At 38.8% G+C, this 17,482-nt stretch overlaps 2 annotated features.

Moving 5' to 3' along the window:
* Positions 8,257-8,756: an enhancer, noted in NCBI's record as "H3K27ac-H3K4me1 hESC enhancer chrX:99749777-99750276 (GRCh37/hg19 assembly coordinates)". NCBI's record gives its function as "activates a minimal SCP1, AML or CMV promoter by ChIP-STARR-seq in naive H9 embryonic stem cells {active_cell/tissue: H9 hESC(naive)}" and the evidence as "EXISTENCE:reporter gene assay evidence [ECO:0000049][PMID:30033119]".
* Positions 8,757-9,258: an enhancer, noted in NCBI's record as "H3K27ac-H3K4me1 hESC enhancer chrX:99749275-99749776 (GRCh37/hg19 assembly coordinates)". NCBI's record gives its function as "activates a minimal SCP1, AML or CMV promoter by ChIP-STARR-seq in naive H9 embryonic stem cells {active_cell/tissue: H9 hESC(naive)}" and the evidence as "EXISTENCE:reporter gene assay evidence [ECO:0000049][PMID:30033119]".

Here is a 17,482-nt window from a genome sequence, read left to right as displayed (position 1 = left end):
TATGCTGTGGTCCAGAAATTGCCTCCAAGCAGCAAGCTAGGCAATAACAGAGATTACATAATTTATTTCCTTTATCTCGAAGATCATAGTTCTGCACTCCCTTTTGTCTACTGTCTGAAAGCAATTGTTTCCTATATTTTGTCCAGTTTTCTAGTTACTTATGGTAGGAGGGCAGGTCCAGTGCTAGTTTTTCAGTCATGCGTAGAAGTGGAAATTCTAGTCTTAAAAAATATAATAATTGAAATAAAAAATACAATTGGGGTCCAGGCACAGTGGCTCATGCCTGCAATCCCAGCACTTTGAGAGGCCAAGGCAGGAGGATTTCTTGAGGCCAGGAGTTTGAGACCAGCCTGAGCAACATAGGGAGACCCCATCTCTACAAAAAAATGAGAAGTTTTTTTTTTTTTTTTCATCAAGTGTGGTGTTGTGCGCCTATAATCCCAGCTACTCTGGAGGCTTAGGTGGGAGAATAACTTGAGCTTGGGAGGTTGGGGCTGCAGCGAGCCATAATCATGCCACTGCATTCCAGCCTGGGTGACAGAGCAAGACCCTGTCTCTAAAAAAATATAATTGGTAGAATCAATAGTTGGATAAATGTAGCTAAAAAACAAGTTAGTGAGTTCAAGATAAAATTGAGGAACTTTTTTAGAAGGTAGCAGGGAAGAATAAGGAAATAGAAAAAATACATAAAAAAGCTAAAGGATATGGAAGTTGGAACTAAAAGTGACAATATTAAATAAAAGGAGTCGTCTCAAGATACAAAATCAATGTACAAAAATCACAAGCATTATTATACACCAACAACAGACAAACAGAGAGCCAAATCATGAGTGAACTCCCATTCACAATTGCTTCAAAGAGAATAAAATACCTAGGAATCCAACTTACAAGGGATGTGAAGGACCTCTTCAAGGAGAACTACAAACCACTGCTCAAGGAAATAAAAGAGGATACAAACAAATGGAAGAACATTTCATGCTCATGGGTAGGAAGAATCAATATCGTGAAAATGGCCATACTGCCCAAGGTAATTTACAGATTCAATGCCGTCCCCATCAAGCTACCAATGACTTTCTTCACAGAATTGGAAAAAACTACTTTAAAGTTCATATGGAACCAAAAAAGAGCCCGCATCACCAAGGCAATCCTGAGCCAAAAGAACAAAGCTGGAGGCATCACACTACCTGACTTCAAACTATACTACAAGGCTACAGTAACCAAAACAGCATGGTACTGGTACCAAAACAGAGATATAGATCAATGGAACAGAACAGAGCCCTCAGAAATAACGCTGCATGTCTACAACTATCTGATCTTTGACAAACCTGAGAAAAACAAGAAATGGGGAAAGGATTCCCTATTTAATAAATGGTGCTGGGAAAACTGGCTAGCATATGTAGAAAGCTGAAACTGGATCCCTTCCTTACACCTTATACAAAAATCAATTCAAGATGGATCAAAGACTTAAACGTTAGACCTAAAACCATAAAAACCCTAGAAGAAAACCTAGGCATTACCATTCAGGACATAGGCATGGGCAAGGACGTCATGTCTAAAACACCAAAAGCAATGGCAACAAAAGCCAAAATTGACAAATGGGATCTAATTAAACTAAAGAGCTTCTGCACAGCAAAAGAAACTACCATCAGAGTGAACAGGCAACCTACAAAATGGGAGAAAATTTTCGCAACCTACTCATCTGACAAAGGGCTAATATCCAGAATCTACAATGAACTCAAACAAATTTACAAGAAAAAAACAAACAACCCCATCAAAAAGTGGGCAAAGGACATGAACAGACACTTCTCAAAAGAAGACATTTATGCAGCCAAAAAACACATGAAAAAATGCTCACCATCACTGGCCATCAGAGAAATGCAAATCAAAACCACAATGAGATACCATCTCACACCAGTTAGAATGGCAATCATTAAAAAGTCAGGAAACAACAGGTGCTGGAGAGGATGTGGAGAAATAGGAACACTTTTACACTGTTGGTGGGACTGTAAACTAGTTCAACCATTGTGGAAGTCAGTGTGGCGATTCCTCAGGGATCTAGAACTAGAAATACCATTTGACCCAGCCATCCCATTACTGGGTATATACCCAAAGGACTATAAATCATGCTGCTATAAAGACACATGCACACGTATGTTTATTGCGGCATTATTCACAATAGCAAAGACTTGGAACCAACCCAAATGTCCAACAATGATAGACTGGATTAAGAAAATGTGGCACATATACACCATGGAATACTATGCAGCCATAAAAAATGATGAGTTCATGTCCTTTGTAGGGACATGGATGAAATTGGAAATCACCATTCTCAGTAAACTATCGCAAGAACAAAAAACCAAACACCGCATATTCTCACTCATAGGTGGGAATTGAGCTATGAGAATACATGGACACAGGAAGGGGATCATCACACTCTGGGGACTGTTGTGGGGTGGGGGGAGGGGGGGAGGGATAGCATTGGGAGATATACCTAATGCTAGATGACGAGTTGGTGGGTGCAGTGCACCAGCATGGCACATGTATACATATGTAACTAACCTGCACATTGTGCACATGTACCCTAAAACTTAAAGTATAATAATAATAAATAAATAAATAAATAAAATAAAAGGAGTCTAAGAAATAGGGAAAATAAAAATGGAGAGAATTAATTGTTTTAAAAAATAATGGAGATGAATTTTCTGGAATTGAAAAATAATAAAAAACTTCATTTTGAAAAGAGTCATAGAGTGCTAAATAGGAGCAAAAAGGAAAACCTATATTGGATACTTTATAGTGAACATTAAGAGAATGAAAGAGAAAATTCTAAAAGCATCCTGAAAGAACAAATAGTATATGTATAAAGAGATAAGAATCAGTTTGATCTCAGACTTCTCAATAGCAACATTAGATATATGAAAAAAATAGAGTATCCTTGGGGAGATGTATATAGGAGACCTTTACAGAGAAAAAGCCTGGAACAGAGTGGGAACTAGAGGTAGAACTGAACTGATAATTGATCGAAAGCCCAACAGTCATAGTTTAATAGTAGAAAAGGTCTTGTGAATATTTTCCAGAGCAGAAATTTAGGCATTATTTTGTCCCAGTGGAACCTCATTCTCCTCTGGAGTGGAAAGAATAATTCAATTTTCATTCATATTGGATTTTATACCTTCAAATTGCTTTAATATTCATTGCTACATTTGAACTTACGTGGAACAGGAAGCTCAAGTGTTATTGTGTTCAAGTGGCATTTCTTCCACTGTATAGATAGGAAATCTGAGACCCACTAAGGTCATGACACTGATCAGTGACAGAGCCAGACCTGGTTCCCTAATTTACTAACTCCCACGTTTGTTTTCAAATTTTTTCTTTGATTTTTATTTGACACATAATAATTGTACATATTTATGGGATACATAGTGATATTTTGATACATGTATTATAATGTATAATGATTAAATCAGGGTTATTAGCATATGTATCACCTGAAACATTGATCATTTCTTTGTGTTGGGAACATTCACAATCCTGTCTTCTAGCTATTTGAAAACATACAATAAATTATTGCTAACTATTGTCAGTCTACAGTGCTATAGAACACTAGAACTTATTCCTCCTATCTAGCTGTAATTTTTTATCCATTAACCAACTCCTCCCTCCTCTCCCCACTTCCACTCTTTCCATCTTCTAGTGACCACAATTCTGCTGTCTACTTCTATGAGCTCAACTTTTTAAATGCCCATATATGTGTGAGAACATGCAGTATTTATCTTTCTGTGCCTAACTTACTTCACTTAATATAATGTCTTCCAGGCTCATCCATGTTGCCATGAATAACATGGTTTCATTTTTTATGGCTGAATAGTATTCCATTATGTATATACACCATATTGTCTTTATCCATTCATCCCTTGATGGACACTTAGTTTGATTCTGTATCTTAGCTATTGTGAATAGTGTTACAATAAACGTGGGGATGCAGATAGCTTTTCAATATACTCATGTGCTTTCCTTTGGATAAATACAGAGTAGTGGGATTGCTGGATCATACGGTGGTTCTATCTTTGGTTTTTAGTTTGTTGCAGAATCTCCACACTGTTTTCTATAATGGCTGTACTAATTTACATTCCCACCAACAGTGTATAAGAGTTCCCTTTTCTCCACATCCTTGCCAGCATGTTATTTTTTGTCTTTTTAGTAATAGCCATTCTAACTGGGATGAGATGATATATCATTGTGATTTTAATTTGCAATTCCCATTTAATTAGTGATGTGTAACATTTTGTCATATACCTGTTGATCATTTATATGTCTTCTTTTGAGAAAGAGCTAATCAGATCCTTTGTCCACTTTTGGGACTATTTGTTTTTCTACTGTTGAGTTGTTTGAGTTCCCTGTATATTCTGGATATTAGCTCATTGTCAACTGAAGTTTGCAAATATTTTCTCCCATTTAATGGGTTGTCTCTTCACTTTGCCGATTGTTTGCTATGCAGAAGCTTTTTAGTTTAATACATTCCTATTTGTGTATATTTGCTTTTGTTGCCTGTGATTTTGAAGTCTTAGCTATACAATCTTTGCCAAGATCAATGTTATAAATCATTTCCCCTGTATTTTCTTCTAGTAGTTTTATAGTTTTGAACTTTACATTTAAGTGTTTGTTCCATTTTTGGGTTGATTTATATATATATTATGGGAGATAGAGATCTAGTGTAATTCTTCTGCATACTGTGCATATCCATTTTTTCCAGAAGAATTTATTGAAGAGACTATTCTTTCCCCAATGTATGCTGAAAATAAGTTGGTTGTAAATATGTGGATTTATTTCTGAGTTCTCTATTCTATTTCGTTGATCTATGTGTCTGTTTTTATACCAATACCATGCTGTTTGGGTTACTATAGCTTTGTAGTATATTATGAAGTCAGGTAGTGTGATTCCCCCCAGCTTTGTTCTTTTTGCTCAGGATTGTTTTAGCTATTTGGGGTCTTTTGTGGTTACATATGAATTTTAGGATTGTTTTTTCTATGTCTGTGAAGAATGTTATCAATATTTTGATAGAGATTGCATTGAATTTGTAGATTGCTTTGGGTAGTATGTTTTTTGTTTTGTTTTGTTTTTTGAGACAGGATCTTGCTCTGTCACCCAGGCTGGAGTGCAGTGGCATGATCACAGCTCACTGCAGCCTTGACCTCCCAGGCTCAAATGATCCTCCCCACTGAGCCTCCTGAGTAGCTAGGATCACAGGTGTGCCCCACCACCACTGCTGACTAATTTTTAAAGCTTTTGTAGAGATGAGGTCTCCCTATGTTGCCCAGACTGGATTGGAATTCCTGAGCTCAAGTTATCTTCCCACCTGCGCCTCCCAAAGTGCTGGGACTACAGGCATTAGCCACGTGATCAACTGGTAGTGTGGTCATTTTAACAACATTAATTCTCCTAGCTAAAAAACATGGATGTTTTTCCAGTTTTTTGTGTTATTTTCAATTTCTTTCATCAGCGTTTCATAGCTTTCATTGTAAAGATCTTTTAATGACGTTAAGATCTCCTTGGTTAAATTATTTCTAGGTATTGCACTTTTTTGGTAGCTATTATAAATGGGACTGCTTTCTTGATTTCTTTTTCAGCTAGTTCATTGTTAGTGTATATAAATGCTACTGGTTTTGTATGTTCATTTTGTATCCTGCCACTTTCCTGAATTTGTTTATTAGTCTTAAGGGTTTTTTAGTGGAGTCTTTAGGTTTTTCTACGTATAAAATATGTCAACTTCAAAGAGGGACAATTTGACTTCCTCTTTTCCAGTTTGGATGTCTTTTATTTCTTTCTCTTGCCTAATTTCTCTGGCTAGAACTTCCAGTACTATATTGAATCACAGTGGTGAAATGGGCATCCTTGTCTTGTTCCAGTACTTAGAGGAAAAGCTTTCAGCTTTTCCCTGTTCAGTATGATGTTAGCTGTGGTTTTGCCACATATGGCCTTTACTGTATTTAGGTATGCTCCTTCTATACCTAATTTTTTGTGTCTAACACACACATTTCTGCTATTTCTTCAGCATATTGAAGCAGCACGAAAGCTGAGTGAGTTGGGTGGATTGTGAACTGATTTGTCAAGTGAATCTTGCTTTGTAAGGCCTTTTGGCTAGGGGTGGGCATTCTCAAATGAAAAGGTAACTGTGCCACCCCTGAAAAGGCTGTGTTCTGCTCTACTTGGCTTATGCATTGTGATTGTCCTCAGCTCTGAGATATGATCCAATAATGAAAAAAAGTCTCTTTTCCATCTTGGTGTTCTTGTTAGTACTTTATGTGGATAAGGTTTTTTAGAATAGTTATTTTAAATGTAGCACACATGAAGGGTGGCTCCAATTGCATTTTTAGAGAATAAATGTATGATAATGAATTTCATGACAACTTACACAAACCTCCTTGCCCTGAAAGCTACCAGCAGAAGAGACATTACTGTCTGTCACAGAAATGAGAAATAGAAAGAAACCCCTTCTTTAAATTGTCCTTCTCTATATATGAAGTGTCTCTTTCCCATATAGCCCATAAAGATCATTCCTGTTGTCAGCTGTACATAAGCATAAGCATTCTTTTCATCAACTATCCTAAGGTTCTAAAAGACCCCATTGAAAAAAAAAAACACCAAAAAGAGCATGCTAATTTCAAGAAACTGGCTGAATGTGACAGTCCCAGCACCTCCTACTCAGAGGAATGACATCATGATAGCAGCAATGTCAGCTCCATCGCTAGTCTCCTCTTTGGCAGGGTGAGGAGCCTGTTTTTTGTATGGTTTTCGTATGTTCATTTTGTATCCTGCAACTTTCCTGAATTTGTTTATTAGTTTTAAGGGTTTTTTAGTGGAGTCTTTAGGTTTTTCTATTTATAAAATCATGTCAACTGCAAAGAGGAGCAATTTGACTTCCTCTTTTCCAGATTGGATGTCCTTTATTTCTTTCTCTTTCCTAATTTCTCTGGGTAGAACTTCCAGAACTATATTGAATCAGAGTGGTGAAAGTGGGCATCCTTGACTTGTGACTATGCTTTCATTTATGTCTCCATTTGAAAGATGCACTCTGTGAGATTACGGATAACCCTGTCCTCTACACACACACACACACAGAGCAGAACCTACTTGATATGCAAACATTAACTCTTTCTTGCATAGCCCACTGAAAATTAAGATAGAAATAAGGATGATTGAGGCTTGAACTATACGTTAAGAAATTTCAGAGCTCCATGCATCAAATTGTAAATAAAAGTAATTTGAAACCTGGCCTTATAGTGGAGTCTAAAATAGAGCTTCAAATGTAAAACATAGTTGAAATGGGACAGAGAAAATGATCCACCTGTACCAGTGAGTTTGAAATGCTTTTAGGAATAATAATTTATATGTTAATACACTTTGCAATTTTAAGATTAGTAATTCTGCTTTACACTTGAAGCAATGTTTTTTTTTATTTCAATCAGAACCCTTTGGGGATGTATTTTATTACCAGATTCAAAAGAAAATGTAAAACTCTTGCAGAGCCTGGCTGGCACCAGCTGCATTTGACCTCTTCCTCTTTAGACCCCATAGATGCTTACTCAAGTTTCATGCTGAATTGCCCTTTGGTAAGATAGTGGAGTTGGCAATGTTGGTCTCTGTAACCCTCAGCCTCCTTGCTTTGCCCTCTTTTTTCTTTGTACTATCTCCCCTCCTCTACACTCCCTCTTCCTTCAGGCTTCCAGCACTACCTACTCTCTTCCTTCTCTTTCTTCCTTCCTATTACAATCCAGTCTGGGGAGTGGCCCTAATATTAGTCATTTACAACTCTGTGAATTTAAATAAACTTTTTCTCTCTCACAGGAATGGAAATTAAAGACTTGGTCCCTTATTAAAGGGATTTCAGGCATTAGTGAGCTCGAGGGAGAGGTAGATTTTTGGCCAAGTGGACGTTAATGGCATCTCAGAAATTGATGATTGTACCACCCACAACACTTAGCACAGTGGCTAGCACACCTAGTGGCAGTTTAATGAGGATTTGCTAATTGGATAAGTGGTTTTCTACTCCTCCTACCAACAAGGCTTTGGCTGTTAGACTTTTGGCTTTTCAATGTCCCCCAGGTGGATATTGTAGTACTTGGGCACATTGTGGACCCTGATATTACACTGGAGTTTGATAACAAAAAGGTTGCAATATTTGAGAAGATTGAATCTTGAAGGATAATTCAATGAGCAGTCGAAGGATAGAATCAGAAAGTTAAACAGACGTATATGAATCTTCCAGAATTGAAAACTGTCGAAATTGCTGGAAGATTAGATCATATTAGTCATTTGCTGTAAACCTGTTCTGGCTGTACCTTGAAAGAAGGGTTTATTTCCTGACTGTCAGTCAACTGTGGCCTGATTAGAGGGAGCAGGATCTGAGGAGGTCAGAGTCTGGCTGTGGAGTCATTTCTGATGAGTTTTTCTTTTACCTATAATACAGCAGGAAAAGCGAGTGCAAGGTGGAGAAGAGATTTACATTTTTTTCCCTTATTGCTCAGATGAAGCTTATATTTCCATTAAAAATCTTTTCATGGAAAGCTCTTGGAAAAATTGACCCCTGAAGCAAGCATTATTTGGAGAGCTTGGGACGTGGCTTTCTGGCAAGGTGTTGGTTTGAATGTGATTAGCAGACAAACCCTGTATTGGGCCTCTTGGCTTCTGCTAGCTAGCATTCATCTGCATAGCACCCCGCCTTCCCTGTTTCTGCTGCTGCTAGAAATATCCCAGCTACTGTTTGAACATTCTCCATTACATTCTCAAAACTTCCTTACTGTCATCAGGGAGTGGCCTGCCCTTTGTGCACAGAAATCAATAATTGTCATTTTCTCCAAGAAATCCTGGGAGAAAGGAGTGGTGATTGAACTCAGATGGGGACACTTCTGCCCTAATCTCCAAGCCTAGCTTAACTAATATAAGAACAATTTCTACTGGCTTTAGGGGAAGAAATGGGAAGCAAAATAGGGGTGCTGTGCTCTCTCCTTAACAAAGATATTCGCCTTAATTGCTAGGTAACTTTTCATTCCCTAACTCTCACACCCTGTTCCTAAGAAACCCCACCAGCTGCTCCCTTTTTTGGTCTAATGTTGTTTTACAATAGGTTAAGGCTCTAACCGTTCATAAGAAAGGGCTTTTGCTCAAGGGCTGTCAAACTAGCCCTTTTCAAGTTTGCAAAATTTGTTTAGCAATTAAAATAAAAGAGATATGGGATCTCACATATACATGTAAGTGACTCTTCCTTTCATGTTTTTGCCTGGCTGCGACTTGAGATGCTTTTTAACCACAAGCTTTTCATTAAGTAGAAAATGTAATTATTCTTTTAGAAAGGAAGGGCAAAACATTCCCAGTGACCTAAGGAATCCCTTTAACTAATGGCAGCTTCTCTCAAATTAGAGCAATAATTGTACTGAATTTGAACAATATGGGGGCAAGACAATAAAATCAGGAAAATTTTAGGAATAATAATACTGCCCTAATAAGTAGTTTTCAGCTATGAAAAGCTTGTAAGCACTTTATTAAGGGTATATTTGGAAAGACAAAAAACTACTGCATTCTAGGCTCAATAAAGGAAAATGATAATGCTGAATACTTTTAAAGATCTTTCAGTAAGGAGTTGTACTGGAATGTCTAAGAAGTTTGCAGCATTATTTGAAATAAAATTTTATATAATGAAGTTCAAAATCTTATTACAGTGAGCTTCAAACAAGTATCTGAGTGATTAATATAACTTTCTTTAATGAGGATTCTTAATTAATAAAACTTTTTACTTAATTGTATTTTTGCAGAAAGAGGGGTAGGAAAAGATAACTATCTTCTAGGGCTTTTAAAATAACATTTCTAGTGTATTTTGGGTTCGCTATGGGTTAAACACAATCTCTTAAGCCTTTTACGACTAGTCTGGACTGCTGCCGTTGATGGTTGGAAAGATGACTCCAAGACCTGGCAATATCTTTAATCTTCAAATATTGAATTTTGTTCACTAATGCAACTTACTATATTGTACACACTAAGGCAGGAAATTTGACTCATAGGATTTTCGGTCATAAATTTTGAAAAATAATAAAATTTTCAAGTTAACCCCCAGTTACCCAGACAAAAATGATCAGGCACAATACTCTAGTCTCAGATGCAGAAAGAAAAGATTGGCTGCATTGGTGTGTTGTTGTATTGAATGTAGCCAAAAAGGATTGACCACTGTTTAAAAAGCTTTTTAACAGTAAATTTGTGATACTAGAAATAGACTGAGGCATTTTTATTCTTCACTATGTATAGCTACCCCGAATAGTGCCTGGTGCATGACAGGTGCTTTAAAAGTACTTTTGGCCTAAATTGAAGAATGAAAGTGTGTCTTACATATTTTTGAAATAATAAACCAATTTTTGTTGTCATTTGCTCCTGATAATCTATTTCCTTGTTGTCTTGCATGCACTCTTCCTACTCATTGAATCAAATATTGCTTCGGGGGAAGACAGAAATGACCTAGAACAACTATATCGTTGCCTAGCTCTGAATTTCAAATGGTAATTTTGAGTGTATAGTGAGGTAATAGTTTCAAAAACCAGGCTTTGATGAGGGTAAACAGTCCCTTTACAGACCAAGAACAAAATGTGGTGGTTTGAAAATAATTTACTATTGTAAATTATTGTATAAGCTATTGTATAGTGAGGATGAGGAATATTAACATAAGGGATGTTTCTGCCACTCGGGAACCTGAAAGCTGTTTTGATGTCAGAGGAGCTTGGCAATATTTGGGAAGGAATGTGCTTAGGCTTGAGATGTTGACCTCACACTCTGGATTATGAAAGGGGATGATACTGCCCTTCCTATCTATAACTCATGGAGGGGCTCACCTCACATGATACCCCATATCAACACAGAGTAGCCACAGTTGAGTATCGAGGTGGCATGATAAAACAAAGAGAGGGTTGGGGACCACGTAGTTGATCCTGAAGGGCTATGAAAGAGATCTTAATTTCCCACATTCCCTGGTGGGGGATGCAAGAGTGAAGAAAGGGCAGGTGCATACGAAGAGGACTGGGGTCAGGAAGAGGAGAGAGCTGAGTGTAGAAACCTTACCTTAAGAGTAATGGCAAGTTTCAAGGTCATTGGCAGTGTTCCTGGCATGATTCCCCAAGGGACAGGTGGACTTGAAACATGATGCAGGATTCATGATGACCAGCCATAGTTAGGGACATTTCAGTAGAGGTCAGAGAGGAACCAGAGACCAACATGCAGCACAAAGTCCCCTTCTCTGGCTGCATTGAGGCTATACAAACTTCTCTCTGCACCCTGATGCCATCTTGAGGAAGGAGAAGAGAAGACATTTTGAGAAGATTGAGGGAGGCCTAATAGGAAGTTTGAACTTTGAATTGACTAAAAATTAGCCTAAAAGATACTGGGGGAATTGGGGCTCCAGAACAAGATGAAGTCAGATGTAGAAAATCAAGTTGCTTTTTCTCCATAATTGAGTCAGAGTGTGTAACTGTGTACTTCCTCCAATAGATGCATCTTCTAATGCCTTATAGGCTAAGATAAGGCTCACCAGCCTTTCCAACTTAGCACAAAGTCTTCTCATATACTTACTCTAGGAAAGGTATGAAGGGAAGTGAGACAACAAGGGAGAAGTTCTCTATTAAAATGCATACTCCCCTGGAAATAGTTACACCTTCAAATGGTAACAATTAATGCTAAATTACTAGTTAACAAATTAGTTGTCCATTAAAACTCCAGTATGGGTTTATAGGAAAGAGGGTAAAGACTAAGCACTTTGGAGAAGGTGGCTAAGGAGTAATTAAAAAGTGAGTGCACCTTTTTTTACATATCTGGAACTACTTGGACAGTATTTATCCCATGATTCTTTGCTTTTTCTTAACCTGCCGGGACACAGGAGAGAACACTTCTACATTTATTACTGTTAATCAAGGCAGTCCTGGGCTCAAATATCAATTCTGACATCTGGGTTTAAATACTAGCTGTGTGACCTTGAACAAGTGATCTAACTCATTTTAGCTTCAATTTTCTCTTCTGTAAAATGGAAGAAATAATATATTCACTTTACCTTATCAAACTGTGTTGGGTGTCTTATCTTTGTCTTTCCACACCCATTCCCCACCCTTTTCTACACTACTGTGTGTTCTGGAAGACAGACTTGTGTACATTTCTGCACTGTGCTTACTTGTCCTCTGGCTTTCCTGTGAATTTGACCAATGGGAAGTACTAGTGGGAGATCCGAAGGAAGAGAGTGAAATGTGGATATTTATTCCTGCAGCTTCCCCCTGCAGGATGCATGGGCTGATTGTGTCCTTCAGTGAAAGGTCAGAGCCCTCTCCATGAAACTCTCTCTCCTTTTAGGAGCAGCTCTCTCCTGTCACCCTTTCAGGCCTGAGGTGATAACACTTCTCCTACCTCTCCCAGGAGTCCATAATCTCTTTTTTAGTTTACCAACCTTTGTAAATCATCCCTTTATTAAACTCTCTTCAAATTATTTAATTTGAGTATACTTGCCTGTTTTCTGCTGGGATCCTGATTGGTACATTCTCTTACCATTTCTAAGTATCTATGAGAAATCAATGGAAGCCACATGCATGCTTTACTTGACTCAATCTCTCTGTAAAGGTCTGAGTTAGCTGTTCCAATCTTTGCTTTGGGATTCTGAGTTCCGGTGAGGGAACGGTTTGGTCTAGTATTAATAAAAAGGACACTCTGTAATCCCAGCGCTTTGGAAGGCCGAGGAGGGCGGATCACAAGGTCAGGAGATCGAGACCATCCTGGCTAACACGGTGAAACCCCGTCTCTACTAAAAAAAAAATACAAAAAATTAGCCGGGCATGGTGGCGGGCGCCTGTAGTCCCAGCTACTCCGGAGGCTGAGGCAGGAGAATGGCGTGAACCCGGGAGGCAGAGCTTGCAGTGAGCCGAGATGCGCCACTGCACTCCAGCCTGGGCAACAGAGCGAGACTCCGTCTCAAAATAAATAAATAAATAACAAATAACAAATAATAAAATAAAATAAAATAAAAAGGACACTAAGCTGATTAGAAGACTTGGGGCTTTGCTCTATTTCTGCCATTAACTCTGTGAGCTTGAGCAAGTGACACACCTCCTCTGTGGGTCTCAGTTCTTCTTCTGTAAGATGAAGAGATTGAATTAGATGACTTCCACGGTACCTTTTAGTGCTTACTCCGTAGTGACTAGAGTTTTCCCTAGTAGAGTTGTAGCAGACATTTCTTTGATGATGTAAAAGGAAAATATCTTGGGTCCCCAAAATCACTAAGCTGAAGGGAAAATTCAAGGTGGGAACTGCTCAGGGCAAATCTGCCTCCCATTCTATTCAAAGTCATCCCTCTGCTCACTGAGATAGATGCATATTCTGATTGCCTCCTTTGGAAAGGCTTATCAGAAACTCAAAAGAATGCAACCATTTGTCTCTCACCTACCTGTGACCTGGAACCCCTCCTCCCTCCAAGTTGTCCCTGCCTTTCTGGATGGAATCATTGTACTTCTTACATATGTTGATTGATGTCTCATGTCTCCCTAAAATGCATAAAATCAAGCTGTGCCCCGACCACCTTGAGCGCATGTCATCAGGACTTCCAGAGGCTGTGTCACAGGTGTGCGTTCTCAACCTTGGCGAAATAAACTTTCTAAATTAATTGACATCTGTCTCAAATTTGGGGGGTTAACAATGGTAATTCACCTAGCTTTCCACATAGGAAAGGAGATTGATGTACCTCCCAACCTTTCTTAAGAAAGAAAGTAAGCAAGAAGAAGAAGAAAGAGAAAGAAAGATCAACCCCTTAAAAATGATATGTGAAGCTTTTAGAACCTTCCAATCAATCCATTCAATCTCTTTGCCCTTAGATTGGCAGATTAAGGCTCTTGACATCTGAATGATTTATTATGACTTAAAGTCCATACTTACAGTACTTCAGCTTGATTTCTTCACAACAACAGAAGGTAATGGAAGAAGACAGATGATAGGCAGAAAGCAACAGGCCAATCACTGAAGAAATGGGAGCTTAAATGATGATTCTGTCATATGGCCTTGCCAGGCATCAGATTTTTTTGTTGCTGTTGCCGTAGTTGTTTGGTTTGAATAGCTTGTGAAAGTGGGGAGAGTAGAGAGGAAAGAAAATATTTAGACACACCTGGACAAAAAGAAGAACCATCAAGGAGAATGGAGAGAAATATAATAGCAAGAAGGTGGTTTGGGAGGAGGGAGTGAGTCTGTGATTTGAGGTCTACCTTTTTCTAGTTCATTGTGTTGTGGACTTTGCATACATAGAGATTATGACAATTATACAGAAGATAAAATTGGTTCAAAGAGACTGGGAAACTTGCCCAAGGTTACCCAGTTTTATTAGGTGAAAAACCAGGATTTGAACCTAAGTTTAGCTGGTTTCAAAGTTCATGCTTTCCCGAGACTGCTAAAGAGTGATGCCATGAATTGCATCTGGAAACTTTAGGCCACATAAATAGTTTAAAACCATTCATGTAGTTATTCAATAAATTTGTTGTGTATCTTCTGTGTGCCAAGCAATGTTCTATATACCGGGGTACAGTGGCAAACAAGTTAGATGAAATCCCTGCTCTTATTGTGCTTACCTCCTAGTGGGAAAAACAGATAATCAATGAGTACGCAAGTAATGCAATGTAACTTTCTGATAATCGTAAGTGTTTGAAGAAGACAAAATAAGGAGAAATTGATTGAGGGGTGATCTAAGGTGGCTTCTCTGAGGAAGTGACATCTAAGTTGCATCTAGAATGACTCAGGAGCTAGTCTGCAAAGATTAGAAAGAAAGAGCAAGGAAAAGGAAGGAAGCAAGTGTAACTGGGGAGAAAGGGTCAGTGGGGGAGAGGGTGGTTCTGAGGGAGGGATAGGGATGGAGAGAGAGAAAGAAAGACTGAGAAAGAGAGAGAGAGAAACTTCAGAGTGCTAGACAGCTTGTGAGCGGATCACATAGATGCTTACAGGTCATAATGAAATGAAGGGTTTCGGTTTTATTATAAGGATGATGGTGAACCATTAGTGCCCTTAACTGCCTTCTCCACCCTTGTCTTAATGGAAAGATTTTGTGAGAATGAACTTGGTGACTTAGGATCCTATTTAGAAATCTTAACTAACTCTGAGTTGGATGGCGTTTAAGTAATTAATATTCTTCATGACAAAAGCCCAAATTAAATGTCCGTTTGTGCATGACACAAGTTCCAGTTCAAGCAATTACCACCCAATCTGAGGCGTGTGTGTGTGTGTGGGGGGGGGGTGGTTAGGGATGATATGCATGACTGCAAGATCTGGAAGGTCAAGGAGGTGGGTAGGACTACCCACAAACCTCAGTAGTCTTCCACGTCATCACCTTCACTGTTTAAGGAGACTTAGCTGCTTTTCCTTGATGCTTGAGGCTATTTCCTAGTCTATCTACTGGTGTCACTCCTGAATGAACTGCAACTTCCAATGAAAATGAAGGGAAGATGTTTGCATGGCTTTGAATCTTGCATAGGCAATTCCAGTGAATGCACAGGATATATTTACATGATGCTGGAAGCATTTACATGATGCTCGAATTGCACAGCTTGTGGAGAGGAGATTGTTTATTTAAATGAAGACTGAGAGGGCTGATTTGATTTCCTTATTCAACCGAAGACTTTGTGATGGTAGAAGATGTAAATAGCTTGTTCACTGATGAAAGGTTTTATGTTTTTATTAAAAATAGAAGGAAATAAGGGGAGCAGTGTCTGGAAGAGGGCACAAGGGGGCTTCTGGTATTCTGGTTATTGATGTGGGTGCAGGTTATACAGGTTTATTCAGTTTGTGAAGATTCACTGATCTGTACTTACAATTTGTGCACTCTTCTATATATATCTCAATAAAAGTCTACAAAAAATGAAGTAAATGAAATGCAGCCCTGAAGGCTTTTTCCATATGATAATGCCAGGATAGTTAATGAGCATTGGAGTGGGAGTTTGGAGACTTAGGTTCAGAAAAAGCTCTCCCACTAACTCAGATGAATGAGCAATAATAATGCAGAGGTTTCAGGTGGCCCAATAAATAACACCCTTTCTTTTCTTTCTCCAGGTCTGAACTGACCAAGACAAACAGAAGTAAAGGAGATAGAGATAAAGAGAGCCTCATTTCTGATAAAAGTGCTAGGGAAAGTGGGTTAAATGTGTTTGACAAATGAGCTTCTTACTTCTTAACCCAGAATTAGGCAGAGATACTCATCCAGACACAGAAAATGTAAGGAAAGTGTAGGCCTAGCCTGCAAGGGGGATTTTATAGCACGGAGTAGACCAGAGCTCATTCCCTCTAAAAGCAGATAGATCCCTATTGGCTGCACATAGCCTGTTCCTGTTCCCAGATCTACCAGTCAGAATACCCTTCTTCCTGAGGAAGGGAAAATGTGAGGGTGAAGAGAGATCAACAGTGTTACACTAATTGATATTTCTCCGCTTAGGAACATGAAGCCAAGAGAAAGGGTGTCCCCCAGCCTTCCTCAACTAACAACAAAAACAACTTTTGCTGTGATGATGATAGCAACTGTCATTTACTGAGCACTTACTATAAAGAGGCACAAGGCTAAGTGTTCACCCATATGTGTTATCACATATATAATTGTATTCTCACAATAACCCCAGGAAATAGGTACAATTATTACCTTCATTTTATAGATGGAGTAACCTATTAAAGGTGACATAGCTAGGAGATGGTGGAGCTGGGACTCAAACATAGAACATAAAATCCATACTTTTAGAGGTTGCTGTAATATAACAAAGGGTAGAGATGGGATTGAGATGCCTGGGTTTAAAAGTCAGTACCACTTACTAGTTGTGTAGCCTTGAGAAAGTTACTAATCTGCTTATTAGTTCCCAAAATCAGCAAGATGGACATGTTATTTCTCTTTACTGGGACTCAATTTCCTTATCTGTGTAATGTGTAGAATAGATTAGAGCAGCAGTTCTCAAAGTGTGTTCCCTGAACCAGAAGCATCAGCATTACCTGAGAACTTGTTAGAAAGAATCCTACTGAATCAGAAACTATGGCAGGGCCCAGCAATTTGTGTTTTAATGAGTCCTCCAGGGGTGTCTGGTACATGCTGAAGTTTAAAATCCACTGTTCTGGATGATCTCAACATTTTCTTTTAGTTCTGCCATTCTGATATCTAATCTTAATGTTTACAGTTGCCCTTTCTTCTCAGCAGGTGTTAGCCTACTAGAGGAGATACTGCCTCACCCTCAGGAAGCTCCACTGTCAGACAAGTGGTGGTGTTATTGGGGGCCACAAAGCGGCCTTGAGGAATAGCCTTTTTGATGGGAAAACCACAACATTTTAGGCTCTTGGTGAAGTCCAGAAGTGAGGCTTTAGTTAAGTCTGCTTCCTTACCCCAGATTGTGCTAGTGACAGGGGAGAAAACAGAGATGAAAGCAGAACTCCTCAGTCTGGAGTGGGAGTTGGTATTGGG

This window comes from Homo sapiens, chromosome X (assembly GCF_000001405.40).
Source record: "Homo sapiens chromosome X, GRCh38.p14 Primary Assembly".
In the NCBI taxonomy this organism is placed as follows: Eukaryota; Metazoa; Chordata; class Mammalia; order Primates; family Hominidae; genus Homo; species Homo sapiens.
The sequence above is the reverse complement of the archived record's forward strand: the minus strand, read 5'-3'. Positions and strand labels throughout refer to the sequence as shown.